This window comes from Homo sapiens, chromosome 5, assembly GCF_000001405.40.
Source record: "Homo sapiens chromosome 5, GRCh38.p14 Primary Assembly".
NCBI classification, from domain to species: Eukaryota; Metazoa; Chordata; class Mammalia; order Primates; family Hominidae; genus Homo; species Homo sapiens.
In genome coordinates this window covers 97670532-97685427 of record NC_000005.10, presented here as the reverse complement: position 1 = coordinate 97685427, position 14896 = coordinate 97670532, and the positions used below count along the sequence as shown (strand labels likewise).

At 37.9% G+C, this 14896-nt stretch overlaps 1 long non-coding RNA gene and 1 pseudogene across 1 annotated transcript in view; one reads left to right on the top strand and one right to left on the bottom strand.

Moving 5' to 3' along the window:
* On the top strand, nucleotides 6747–7881 carry MTCYBP40 (MT-CYB pseudogene 40; annotated as a pseudogene).
* The window catches only part of LINC01340 (long intergenic non-protein coding RNA 1340), a 166356-nt gene continuing 165836 nt past the window's right edge, over nucleotides 14377–14896 (bottom strand). The window contains exon 4 of the long non-coding RNA NR_105028.1: nucleotides 14377–14834. This is a non-coding gene — a long non-coding RNA (long intergenic non-protein coding RNA 1340). The remainder of the gene's footprint in view (nucleotides 14835–14896) is intronic.

The window sequence follows — 14896 nt, the reverse complement described above, 5'->3', positions numbered from 1 at the left end:
TTATATCCAGAAATAATATTCAAATAGTTACAACTGTTACAGCACAGGCACAGTGTCACAGCCCTCAGAGTAACTATTTCAGGCTTCTTACTTGCAGTAGAACATAATCTTATGACTAACAACCTCAAACTCAAGTACGCATCACAGATATTTAATTTCTCTAACATATTAGGGTTTTACCCAGTCATAATACACCGCACAACATCACACTTAAATTTATTTGCAAGTCAAAACTTAGTCTCTCTTCTACTAGACCTAACTTTATTAGACAAAAAGAATACCAAAAAATACTGCCCAAATTCAAATTATAGCCTCCACCATTGTATCTACCCAGAAAAGCCTAATTAAGCTCTCCTTTTTCTCTTTTCTTACTCCCTCTCTCCTAACACTATTCTTAATTATTTAACCCTGTTCCCTCACGTAATCTCAATCACAATAAAAATACTAACAGAGATCAACCAGCAACCACCACCAATTAACATCCATAACTGTATAAGGCACCTACACCCATAGAATCCTCACAAAGTAATCCTATTCCTTCACCCTCAAAGATCACCCAGTTTTCTATATTCTTAAAATCAATTACAATAGCCAAACAAAAGGCAGCAGAAACCTCTGCAGACTTAAATGTCCCTGTCTGACAGCTTTGAAGAGAGTAGTGGTTCTCCCAGCACGGAGTTGGAGATCTGAGAACAGACAGACTGCCTACTCAAGTGGGTCCCTGACACCCGAGTAGCCTAATTGCGAGGCACTCCCAAGTAGGGGTAGACTGACAACCCACACAGCCGGGTACTCCTCTGAGACGAAACTTCCAGAGGAACGATCAGGCAGCAACATTTGCTGTTCAGCAATATTCACTGTTCTGCAGCTTCCGCTGCTGATACCCAGGAAAACAGGGTCTGGAGTGGACCTCCAGCAAACTCCAACAGACCTGCAGCTGAGGGTCCTGACTGTTAGAAGAAAAACTAACAAACAGAAAGGACATCCACACCAAAACCCCATCTGTACGTCATCATCATCAAAGACCAAAGGTAGATAAAACCACAAAGATGGGGAAAAAACAGAGCAGAAAAACTGAAAATTCTAAAAAATCAGAGTGCCTCTCCTCGTCCAAAGGAACGCAGCTCCTCACCAGCAACGGAACAAAGCTGGATGGAGAATGACTTTGATGAGTTGAGAGAAGAAGGCTTCAGACGATCAAACTTCTCCGAGCTAAAGGAGAAAGTTCGAACCCATCACAAACAAGATAAAAACCTTGAAAAAAGGTTAGAAGAATGGCTAACTAGAAGAATCAATGTAGAGAAGTCCTTAAATGACCTGATGGAGCTGAAAACAATGGCATGACAGCTACGTGACAAATGCAAAAGCTTCAGTAGCCGATTTGATCAACTGGAAGAAGCGGTATCAGTGATTGACCATCAAATGAATGAAATGAAGCAAAAAGAGAAGTTTAGAGAAAAAAGAGTAAAAAGACATGAACAAAGTCGCCAATAAATATGGGACTATGTGAAAAGACCAAATCTACGTCTGATTGGTATACCTGAAAGTGACAGGGAGAATGGAACCAAGTTGGAAAACACTCTGCAGGATATTATCCAGGAGAACTTCCCCAATCTAGCAAGACAGGCCAACATGCAAACTCAGGAAATACAGAGAATGCCATAAAGATACCTCTTGAGAAGAGCAACTCCAAGACACATAATTGTCAGATTCACCAAAGTTGAAATGAAGGAAAAAATGTTAAGGGCAGCCAGAGAGAAAGGTCAGGTTACCCACAAAGGGAAGCCCATCAGACTAACAGCAGATCTCTTGGCAGAAACGCTACAAGCCAGAAGAGAGTGGGGGCCAATATTCAACATTCTTAAAGAAAAGAACCTTCAACCCACAATTTCATATCCAGCCAAACTAAGCTTCATAAGTGAAGGAGAAATAAAATACTTTACAGACAAGCAAATGTTGAGAGATTTTGTCACCACCAGGCCTACCCTAAAAGAGCTCCTGAAGGAAGCACTAAACATGGAAAGGAAAAACCGGTACCAGCCACTGCAAAAACATGCCAAAATGTAAAGACCATCAAGGCTAGGAAGAAACTGCATCAACTAACGAGCAAAATAACCAGCTAACATCATAATGACAGGATCAAATTCACACATAACAATATTAACCTTAAATGTAAATGGGCTAAATGCTCCAATTAAAAGACACAGACTGGCAAATTGGATAAACAGACAAGACCCATCAGTGCGCTGTATTGAGGAAACCCATCTCACGTGCAGAGAAACACACAGGCTCAAAATAAAGGAATGGAGGAAGATCTACCAAGCAAATGGAAAACAAAAAAAGGCAGGGGTTGCAATCCTAGACTCTGATAAAACAGACTTTAAACCAACAAAGATCAAAAGAGACAAAGAAGGCCATTACATAATGGTAAAGGAATCAATTCAACAAGAAGAGCTAACCATCCCAAATATATATCCACCCAATACAGGAGCACCCAGATTCATAAAGCAAGTCCTTAGTGACCTACAGAGAGACTTAGACTCCCACACAATAATAATGGGAGACTTTAACACCCCACTGTCAATATTAGACAGATCAACGAGACAGAAAGTTAACAAAGATACCCAGGAATTGAACTCAGCTCTGCACCAAGCAGACCGAATAGACATCTATAGAACTCTCCACCCCAAATCATCAGAATATACATTCTTTTCAGCACCACACCACACCTATTCCAAAATTGACCACATAGTTGGAAGTAAAGCACTCCTCAGCAAATGTAAAAGAACAGAAATTCTCTCAGACCACAGTGCAATCAAACTAGAACTCAGGATTAAGAAACTCACTCAAAACCACTCAACTACATGGAAACTGAACAACCTGCTCCTGAATGACTACTGGGTACATAATGAAATGAAGGCAGAAATAAAGTTGTTCTTTGAAACCAACAAGAACAAAGACACAACATACCAGAATCTCTGGGACACATTTAAAGCAGCGTGTAGAGGGAAATTTGTAGCAGTAAATGCCCACAAGAGAGAGCAGGAAAGATCTAAAATTGACACCCTAGCATCACAATTAAAAGAACTAGAGAAGCAAGAGCAAACACATTCAAAAGCTAGCAGAAGGCAAGAAATAACTAAGATCAGAGCAGAAATGAAGGAGATAGAGACACAAAAACCCTTCCAAAAATCAATGAATCCAGGAGCTGGTTTTTTGAAAAGATCAACAAAATCGATAGACCTCTAGCAAGACTAATAAAGAAGAAAAGAGAGAAGAGTCAAATAAACGCAATAAAAAACGATAAAGGGGATATCACTGCCGATCCCACAGAAATACAAACTACCATCACAGAATACTATAAACACCTCTATGCAAATAAACTAGAAAATCTAGAAGCAATGGATAAATTCCTTGACACATACACCCTCCCAAGAATAAACCAGGAAGAAGTTGAATCTCTGAATAGGCCAATAACAGGCTCTGAAACTGAGGCAATAATTAATAGCTTACCAACCAAAAAAAGTCCAGGACCAGATGGATTAACAGCTGAATTCTACCAGAGGTACAAGGAGGAGCTGGTACCATTCCTTCTGAAACTATTCCAATCAATAGAAAAAGAGCGAATCCTCCCGAACTCATTTTATGAGGGCATCATCCTCCTGATACCAAAGCCTGGCAGAGACAACACAAAAAAAGATAATTTTAAACCAATATCCCTGATGAACATGGATGCAAAAATCCTCAATAAAATACTGGCAAACCGAATCCAGCAGCACATCAAAAAGCTTATCCACCATGATCAAGTGGGCTTCATCCCTGGGATGCAAGGCTGGTTCAACATATGCAAATCAATAAATGTAATCCAGCATATAAACAGAACCAAAGACAAAAACCACATGATTATCTCAACAGATGCAGGAAAGGCCTTTGACAAAATTCAACAGCCCTTCATGCTAAAAACTCTCAATAAATTAGGTATTGATGGGATGAATCTCAAAATAATAAGAGCTATTTATGACAAACCCACAGCCAATATCATACTGAATAGACAAAAACTGGAAGCATTCCCTTTGAAAACTGGCACAAGACAGGGATGCCCTCTCTCACCACTCCTATTCAACATAGTGTTGGAAGTTCTGGCCAGGGCAATCAGGCAGGAGAAGGAAATAAAGGGTATTCAATTAGGAAAAGAGGAAGTCAAATTGTCCCTGTTTGCAGATGACATGATTGTATATCTAGAAAACCCCATCGTCTCAGCCCAAAATCTCCTTAAGCTGATAAGCAACTTCAGCAAAGTCTCAGGATACAAAATCAGTGTGCAAAAATCACAAGCATTCTTATACACCAATAACAGACAAACAGAGAGCCAAATCATGAGTGAAATCCCATTCCCAATTGCTTCAAAGAGAATAAAATACCTAGGAATCCAACTTACAAGGGATGTGAAGGACCTCTTTAAGGAGAACTGCAAACCACTGCTCAAGGAAATAAAAGAGAACACAAACAAATGGAAGAACATTCCATGCTCATGGATAGAAAGAATCAATATTGTGAAAATGGCCATACTGCCCAAGGTAATTTATAGTTTCAATGCCATCCCCATCAAGCACCCAATGACTTTCTTCACAGAATTGGAAAAAACAACTTTAAAGTTCATATGGAACCAAAAAAGAGCCCGCATCACCAAGTCAATCCTAAGACAAAAGAACAAAGCTGGAGGCATCACGCTACCTGAATTCAAACTATACTACAAGACTACAGTAACCAAAATAGCATGGTACGGGTAACAAAACAGAGATATAGACCAATGGAACAGAACAGAGACCTCATAAATAATACCACACATCTACAACCATCTGATCTTTGACAAACCTGACAAAAACAAGAAATGGGGAAAGGATTCCCTATTTAATAAATGGTGCTGGGAAAACTGGCTAACCATATGTAGAAAGCTCAAACTGGATCCCTTCCTTACACCTTATACAAAAATTAATTCAATATGGATTAAAGACTTAAATGTTAGACCTAAAACCATAAAAACCCTAGAAGAAAACCGAGGCAATACCATTCAGGACATAGGCATGGGCAAGGACTTCATGTCTAAAACACCAAAAGCAATGGAAACAAAAGACAAAATTGACGAATGGGATCTAATTAAACTAAAGAGCTTCTGCACAGCAAAAGAAACCACCATCAGAGTGAACAGGCAACCTACAGAATGGGAGACAATTTTTGCAATCTACTCATCTGACAAAGGGCTAATATCCAGAATCTACAAAGAACTCAAACAAATCTACAAGAAAAAAACAAACAACCCCATCAACAAATGGGCAAAGGATAGGAACAGACACTTCTCAAAAGAAGACATTTATGCAGCCAAAAGACACATGAAAAAATGCTCATCATCACTGGCCATCAGAGAAACGCAAATCAAAACCACAATGAGATACCATCTCACACCAGTTAGAATGGCGATCATTAAGAAGTCAGGAAACAACAGGTGCTGGAGAGGATGTGGAGAAATAGGAACACTTTTACACTGTTGGTGGGACTGTAAACTAGTTCAACCATTGTGGAAGTCAGTGTGGTGATTCCTCAGGGATCTAGAACTAGAAATACCATTTGACCCAGCCATCCCATATCTGGGTATATACCCAAAGGATTATAAATCATGCTGCTATAAAGACACATGCACATGTATGTTTATTGTGACATTATTCACAATAACAAAGACTTGGAACCAACCCAAATGTCCAACAATGATAGACTGGATTAAGAAAATGTGGCACATATACACCATAGAATACTATGCAGCCATAAAAAATGATGAGTTCATGTCCTTTGTAGGGACATGGATGAAGCTGGAAACCATCATTCTCAGCAAACTATTTCAAGGACAAAAAACCAAACACTGCATGTTCTCACTCATAGGTGGGAATTGAATGATGAGAACATTTGGACACAGGAAGGGGAACATCACACACTGGGGCCTGTTGCGGGGTTGGGGGAGGGGGGAGGGATAGCATTGGGAGATATACCTAATGTAAATGACGAATTAATGGGTGCAGCACACCAACATGGTATATGTATACATATGTAACAAACCTGCACGTTGTGCACATGTACCCTAAAACTTAAAGTATAATAATAATAAAATTTTTTAAAAAAAAGCAAGTGGAGGTATAACCAGACCATAGCCTACATTTGTGCCAATCACCGAGTTTTGGCCAATCAAATGTAGACAACTGTTCAAACTGTGTTCAAATAAGGCAAACGCTGATCTGTAACCAATCCAGCTGTTTCTGTATCTCATTAAAAAAAAATCAATTACAATTTCCACGTCATCATAATCAATTATTCACATAACTAACACCAACTCTAACAGCAACCCTAATAGCAAAGCACCCCACAGAGCAACACTTGTCCCTCAGGTCTCAGGGTATTCCTCAGTAGCTGTCACTGTCATATAACCAAAAATGACCATTATTGCCCCCAAATAAATTTAAAAAAAACTATTAAACCTACAAAAGCCCCACCAAGTTTAATACAATGCTGCAACCCCCTCCCCCACTAATAATTAACCCCAATCCCCCATAAATAGGAGAAGGCTTTGAAGAGAGCCCCACAAGGCCTATAACAAGAGTAATAATAAAAATACAACATATGTTCTAATTCTTAAATGGAATATAACTATGACTAATGACATGAAAAATCATCATTGTACTTCAATTATAAGAACCCTAATGACTAACACTCATGAGATGCACCCCTTAATAAAAATGATTAACCACTCGTTTATTGACCTACCTGCACCATCAGACATCTCTGCATGGTGAAACTTCAACTCGCTTCTAGATATTTGCCCGGTCCTTCAAATCGGTACAGGGTTATTCCTAGCTATACATTACAAGTTAGATACTTCAACTACCTTCTCCTTAGTCACACGCATTTGCTGAGATGTAAATTACAGCTGAGTTATCCGCTACCTACGTGCTAGTGGGGCTTCAATATTCTTCATCTGCCTATTTCTACATGTAGGCTGAGGCTTATACTACAGATCATTCACCTTCCTAGAAACTTGAAATATTGGCATTATTCTTCTATTTGCGGTTATAGCAACAGCATTCATAGGTTACATACTTCCATGAGACCAAATATCGTTCTGAGGTTCAACAGTACTGACAAATGTACTATCAGCCACCCCATAATTGGAACCAACCTTGTACAATGAATCTGAAGTGGATTCTCAGTTGATAAAGCCAACTTTATATGATTCTTCACTTTCCATTTTATCCTACCTTTTATTATCACAGCCCTAGTAGCCATCCACCTCTCATTCCTACATGAAACAGGATCTAATAACCCCTCAGGAATTTCATCAGACTGACAAAATCCCATTTCACCCTAATTACACAATTAAAGATATTCTAGGCTTAATTCCACTTCTCCTGCTCCTGCTAATTCTAGTTCTATTCTCACGTGACTTCCTAGGAGGCCCAGACATCTACACCCCAGCAAACCCCCTTAGCACTCTGCCCCATATCAAACCGGAGTGGTACTTTTTATTTGCCTATGCAACCCTACAGTCTATCCCAAACAAACTAGGGGGTGTACTAGCCCTTGTGTTTTCTATCCTCATTCTAGCAATTATCCCAATACTTCATATATCTAAACAACGAAGTATGACATTCCAACAATTAAGTCAGTGTTTATTCTGAATCTTAGTGGCTGACCTATTCACACTTACTTGAATCGGAGAACAACCCATCAAACACCCTTTCATCATTCATCAGACAAACTGCATTCGTTGCATATTTTTCTATTATTCTTATTTTTATACCAGTCACCAGCTTAATTGAAAACAAACTACCTAAATGAAGATGTCCTCGTAGTATAACTTTATTACTCTAGTCTTGTAAACCAAAAATGGAGGATTTCCTCCCCAGGACAACCTCAGGGAAAAAGCATCCCACTTCACCACCAGCTCCCAAAGCTGAAATTCTACTTAAACTACTCCCTGCATCCTTTAATGACCAATTAGAACAAATGCTAGCCATAAACAGCCAGTAAATCCAAACAGGGGGTGCTAGTGAGTATCAGCTGTTTGTATACGACTTTATTTATTTTCTGTTACTTCTCATGCAATCAGAGGTCCATGAAGATTTGTAGGTAGGTTAATAATTCATTGTAGATATCACTTAACCTTAGCAGGAAATCAGATGTCTATTTCACCTCTATTTCCTTGGGAATTAGGCCAGTGTCAACCATATAGAAAGTGCTTGTGAATATTTGTAGAATAAACAAAAAAAAATACTAAAGTGCTTTTAGGTATTGCATACTTTTTGTGTGCCAGACACAACATCAGATATTTTTATTGTATTATTTCAATTCATATAACAATACCACCAGAAGGCATTATGACAACAATATTACTGTTGAGAAAACCTAGACAAATAGAGGCTAAACAATAACGGTGTTAATGTGTTGATAGAAAGAGATTCGGACCAGTTATGCACAACTACTTAGATGCAGTTGCTCACAAGAAACTCCACAAGGTGAGTGATGATGGTAAGCATTCACCCACAAGAAAAGCAAGAAATGGCTGGGGACAGTAGCACTCATGTAGAAAGTGACTCAAAAAAGTGTGAGGAACTGATTCTAGTCCTTTAACACTGCATTTTTTTTTTTTTTGGTCTTTCTCTTTTTTTAAATAGCGAGTGGGTAAATGGTAATGTTTGTTGGTCCCATGTTTTATTTTGGTCCCATGTTGGTCCCATGTTTTATTTCTAGTGGTAATAAAAAAGAGATGCATACATGAAGAAAAAACAGGAGATTTAGTCCACACGTGGAACAGAACAAAACCCACAACTTCTAACCAATGAGGATGAAAAAATTGTGACCATTTATTTCTGGGTTTCTATTCTGTTCCATTGGTTTATATATCTATTTTTGTACCAGTACCACACTGTTTTGGTTACTGTAACCCTGTAGTATAGTTCAAAGTCATGTAGCATGATGCCTCCAGTTTTGTTCTTTTTGCTTAGGATTACCTCATCTATTCAGGCTCTTTCTTGGTTCCACATGAATTTTAAAGTAGCTTTTTTCTAGTTATGTGAAGAATCTCAATGGTAGTTAAATAAAAATAGTGTGTATAGGAATTTGTAGGAATCTATAAATTTCTTTGAGCAGTATGTCCATTTTAATGATATTGATTCCTCCTATTCATGAGCATGGAATGTTTTTCAATTTGTTTGTGACATCTCTGATTCCTTTCAGCAGTGTTTTGTAGTTCTCATTGTAGAGATCTTTAACCTCCCTAGTTAGCTGTGTTTTTAGGTATTTTATTCTTTTAGTGGAAATTGTGAATGGGAGTACGTTCCTGATCTGGTTCTCAGCTTGACTGTTCTTGGTGTAAAGAAATTCTAGTGATTTTTGCACATCCATTTTATTTCCTGGGACATTTCTGAAGCTGATTATCAGCTTAAGAAGCTTTTGAGCTGAGACTTTAAGGTTTTCTAGATAAACTTATGTCATCCACAAACAGGGATTGTGTTATCAGCAAACAGATGACATAATCTCATATCTATACTATCCCTCTTCCTATATGGATGTCCTTTATTTCTTTCTCTCGCTGATTGTCCTGGGCAGGACTTCCAATACTATGTTGAATAGGAGTGGTGAGAGGGCATCTTTGCTGTGTTCCAGTTTTCAAGGAAAATGTTTCCAGCTTTTGCTCTTTTAGTATGATGTGGGCTGTGGATTTGTCAAATATGGCTCTTACTATTTTGAGGTACGTTCCTGCAGTGCTTAGTTTACTGAGACTTGTTAACATAAATTGATATTTAATTTCATCAAAAGCCTTTTCTTCATATATTGAGATAATCACGTGGTTTTTGTCTTTAGTTCTGTTTATGTGATGAATCACATTTATGGATTTGTGTATGTTGAGCCAACCTTGCATCCCAGGGGTAAAGCCTATTTGATTTTGGTGGATAACTTTTTGATATGCTGCTGGATTTGCTTTGCCAGTATTTTGTTGAGGATTTTTGCATCAATGTTCATCAAAGATATTGGCCTGAAGTTTTCTTTTTTTGTTTTATCTCTGCCTGATTTTGGTATTATAATGATGCAGGCCTCATAGAATGAATTACAGAGGAGTCCCTTCTCCTCATTTTTTTGAAATAATTTTAGTAGGAATGGTACCAGCTCCTCTTTGTTCATCTGGTAGAATTCAGGTATGAATCCATCTGGTTCTGGGCTTTTTCTTTTTGGTTGACACCCTATTTATTACTGCCTCAATTTCAGAGCTTGGTATTGGTCTGTTCAGGGATTCAATTTCTTCCTGGTTCAGGCATGGGAGGGTGCATGTGTCCAGGAATGCATCCATTTCTTCTAAATTTTCAAGTTTATGTGCATAGAGGTATTCATAATATTTTCTGGTGATTATTTGTATTTCTGTGGGGTCAGTGGTAAGATCCCCCTTGCCATTTCAGATTGTGTTATTTGAACCTATTCAATAAATGGTGCTTGGAGAACTGGCTAGTCATATGCAGAAGATTGAAACTGGACCCATTCCTTATGCCATATACAAAAATTAACTCAAGATGGATTAAAGACTTAAACGTAAAACTCAACACTGTAAAAATCCTGGAAGACCACCTAGGCAATACCATTCAGGACATAGGCACAGGCAAAGATTGCATGAGGCAGATGCCAAAAAGCAATTGCAACAAACAGAAAAATTGATAGTGTTAATCTAATTAAACTAAATAGTTTCTGTACAGCAAAAGAAACTATCAACAGAGTAAATAGACAACTACATCATGGGAGAAAATTTTGGCAAACTATGTATCTCACAAAGGTCTAATATCCAGCATCTATAAAAAACTTAAAACAAATTTACAAGAAGAAAACAACAAACAGCCCCCATTAAAAAGTGAGAAAAGGACATGAATAGACACTTCTCAAAAGAAGACATAGATGCAGCCAACAAGCATATGAAAAAATGCTCAACATCGGTAATCATTAGAGAAATGCAAATCAAAACCACAACAAGACACCATATCACACCAGTCAGACTGGCTATTACTAAAAAGTCACAAAACAACATATTGGTGAGGTTGTGGAGAAAAAGGAATGCTTATACACTATTGGTGGGAATGTAAATTAGTTCAACCATTGTGGAAGACAGTGTGGTAATTCTTCGAAGTCCTAAAGACGGAAATACCATTCAACCCAGCAATCCCATTACGGAGTATACATCCAAAAGCATACAAATCATTCTGTTATAAAGACACATGCACACATATGTTTATTGCAGCACTATTCACAATAGCAAAGATGTAAAGTCAACCTAAATGCTCATCAATGATAGACTGGATAAAGAAATTGTGTTACATATACACCATGGAATATTATGCAGCCATAAAAAGAGAACAAGATCATGTTCTTTGCAGGGGCATGGATGGAGCTGGAGGCCATTATCCTTAGGAAACTAATGCAGTAACAGAAAACAAAATACCACATTTCTTACTTACAAGTGGGAGATAAATGGACGCATAAAGGGGAACAACATACACATAGGCCTATTGGAGAGTGGAGGGTGGGAGGACAGAAAGGATCAGGAAAAATAACCAATGCATACTAAGCTTAATATCTGGGTGATCAAATAACCTGTACAACAAAGCCCCATGACAGTTTACCTATATAACAAACCTGCACATGTACCCCTGAACTTAAAAGTTAAAAAAAAAAAGCAGGGAGCCTGAAAGAGAGTAGAGCTTTCTCCCTATAATCATGGATCTCTTTTCAGGCATATACTTTATTTGCAGGCATATCATGAAGTATAAATATATTAGTTAACAAAAAAAAAAGTGACCATAAAAATGTTCCTTACAAAATCTAGAACTTTCTGTGTTGATTTTGAGCTGACTAAAAAATTGCTAGACAAATGCTGATCAGCTTCCACTGCCCGTGATATCTAAGTACACCATGAATACACACTGAGACCTTGGGCTAAAATGCCTCCACATCATTTCTTTCCATACCTTATTTGAATTTTAGAGCATAAAACTTTACAAAATAAAGTGATCCCTCACAAAAGCACAGCAATTGAGTGCACCTGTGGTAGGCTGTTCTCACTGAATATTGTTTTTAAAGACCACAATAATCCTCTGGGTTTTTTTTCACTTGATCCTTTTATGGGTTTTGTGTTGTAGGCTGCATATTACATGAAATTTAATCAAGAAGCTACTTTTTTGTGTAACTAAATGGAAATCTGGGCATCTGCTTTGTCAGTGACCTTTGACTGACCCTGGCTCACTATAGCCAGGTATATAAAAAAATTAAAGGTTTTATGTCAGAAGCTAAGAAAAATGGCTATTGGTGTCCCAGCTCCATTCTTTGCTGCGTGGATGTAGAGTTCTGGTTTCTTTCTCATTGCAAATTGGGCAAAGGCCCTTCCAAATGTTTTGTGTCCCCTTCCCATAAATCAAAAATTCAGTTTTGACTGTATGGCAAACTTGCATGTGTTTTTCTGGGTGGTAGATAGACCTATTCTTAGCTTGTCTGATCTACACTTTTTAACTTTAGTTTTAGATATTTGTAACTTTATTTTCAAAGGCACATTCTCAAAGGTAAACCCAGACTGTTGTTTTCAGAGTTAGTAGTAATGAAGTATCTAATACATTTTACAAGAAGTAGTCCCTTAGATTTCTATAGGGTAACCCTCTGGGATTTTGACACACTTTGTTTCTGTACATCTTCTCCTGGAATTCTTTGGTATATTAGTCAGGGTTTTCCATTGAAACAGAACCAATAAGACACATACACACACACACACATGCACACACATACACATGCACACACATGTGTATAAATAAGATTTATAAGGAACTGACACACATGATTGTGGAGGCTGAGAAGTCTCATGATCTGCTGTCTGAAAGTTGGAAGTCCAGGGAGCCAGTAGTGTAGTTCCAGGTTAAGTGCAGGAGAACAATGTTCCATCTCTAAAGCAGGTAGAGAGAGTAAATTCTCCCTTATCCCACATTTTGTTCTATTTGGGCCTCCAAAGGATTGGACAATGCCCATTCACATTATGGGAGACAATCTGCTTTACTCATTCTACCAAATCATATGTTAATCTCATCCAGAAACACCCTCACAGACATACTCAGAATAATGTGTAGTCAAATAGCTGGGCATCCCATCTCCCAGTCAATTCGACAAACAAAATTAACCATCAAAATTTGGTAGCTCCAGTCTCTAAAACTCAAGAAAATACAAGAGCTAGAGTTCTATTGATCTAGTCAGATTTAATCTTAGAGCAAGGCTAGAAACTTTGTGTTCCTTAAAAAGGATGCCCGTATCTCTCGAATTTCATACCCAGAACACAGCACAGTGCTAGAAAACGGTGAGTAACCAGTAAATGATGAATTAATCACTGTGCTATGAGAAGTTCAAGTGAGTGTGGGTTTATGTAATTTTATGTTAACAAAGTGAGAACATCTACATTACCTTCTCTTACCCCTGCAGCTCTCTAAAAACCAGCATCTACATCAAATGGATAGAAATTCTATATAGAATTCTACATGGAAGGAAACCAAGATACCAGCAATCTAGCTAATATTTATATTTCTTGTAGTACCCATTTAGATATGCTCAGAGCAAAATGGGTTTCACATTGAGCCTTCGATAGATGCCTCCCTAAGCTAGACATGATCTCTTTCATTTCCTGTTTTCTAATTTACTTGTTAGTTCAATAGAAAGTCAATATTACAGAATCATAGGTTTTCATTTTCTTAATTTTTCCTTTGACGGGAAAACTGATATCTCAGTAAGAGTGAATTCAAAGATGCCAAAAGATCACATTTCTATCCAGTTGTTTTCTGAGCTTTTACCAAGAAATAAAAGAAAATACAAATGAACACAGAACTAGTATCAGAGTGCAAGTTCACATCTAGTATGTAGAACTGATTTTCTGACAATCTCCAAAAAATAACCATATTTGCTGTATTAATAAATAAATGCAGAAATGAGCCTTGGGTTTATCTTGGCTCCAGACAGGCTTTCTTGGCCTGTCAGAACCAAGTGAATTGTCTACAGAAAGCCTTCCATCAAAGCTTCCTTGAGCACCACGTCTACGGAAGGGACCCCAAAGAATTGCAAAAGATAGATAAGCAATATGTAATATTAATAAGTGGCCCAAACTGGACAAGTTAAATCTTCCAAATGCTGCCCCCAGTAACTCTAAACTAGCTGTTGATTCCTTTACAGCCCAACTGGGAAGCCACATGGTTAGTCTAGCCCACAAAAAGTTATATTATCTATCAACTGCAGGGATCATATTAGCAACATATCTTTACTTGATATAAAAGCCATAAAATTTATTGGCAGAAAATAATGCAGCCTATACATGTTTAAAAATATGAAGGCATATACTTACACAAACATTCAACTCATAATTCTATAAATTGTCATAATTTGGGGGTATGATTTCTTCCAGCTACAAAATGGAAGTTATGCCATACCTATGAATATTCTCTCCTCATATTCAGTTTTCAGAAACAATCCATTGAAGAACTATGATTATTTCCCCAGTTCAGTTTTTCTGCTTGACCTCATATGGCTGTCAGGCTTAGGACAGCTGACAAGACAATTAAGCAAAAGGCAGCCAAAAACAAAGAAAATAATAGGGAATTTTAAATAGTTGAATCAAAAAGCAAACTTTCTGACTCACCATGCATTGTCAAGTTGTCCCAAATGCTTTCTCATAGGTTCAGCAGGATGTTGATGACCTGAGCACCAGCTCTGTCATCCCCAATGGGAAGCTGCAATACCATAATGGTAACAGAGAAGCTATTGTCAGTGGGCTGCTTTAATTTAATTGCTC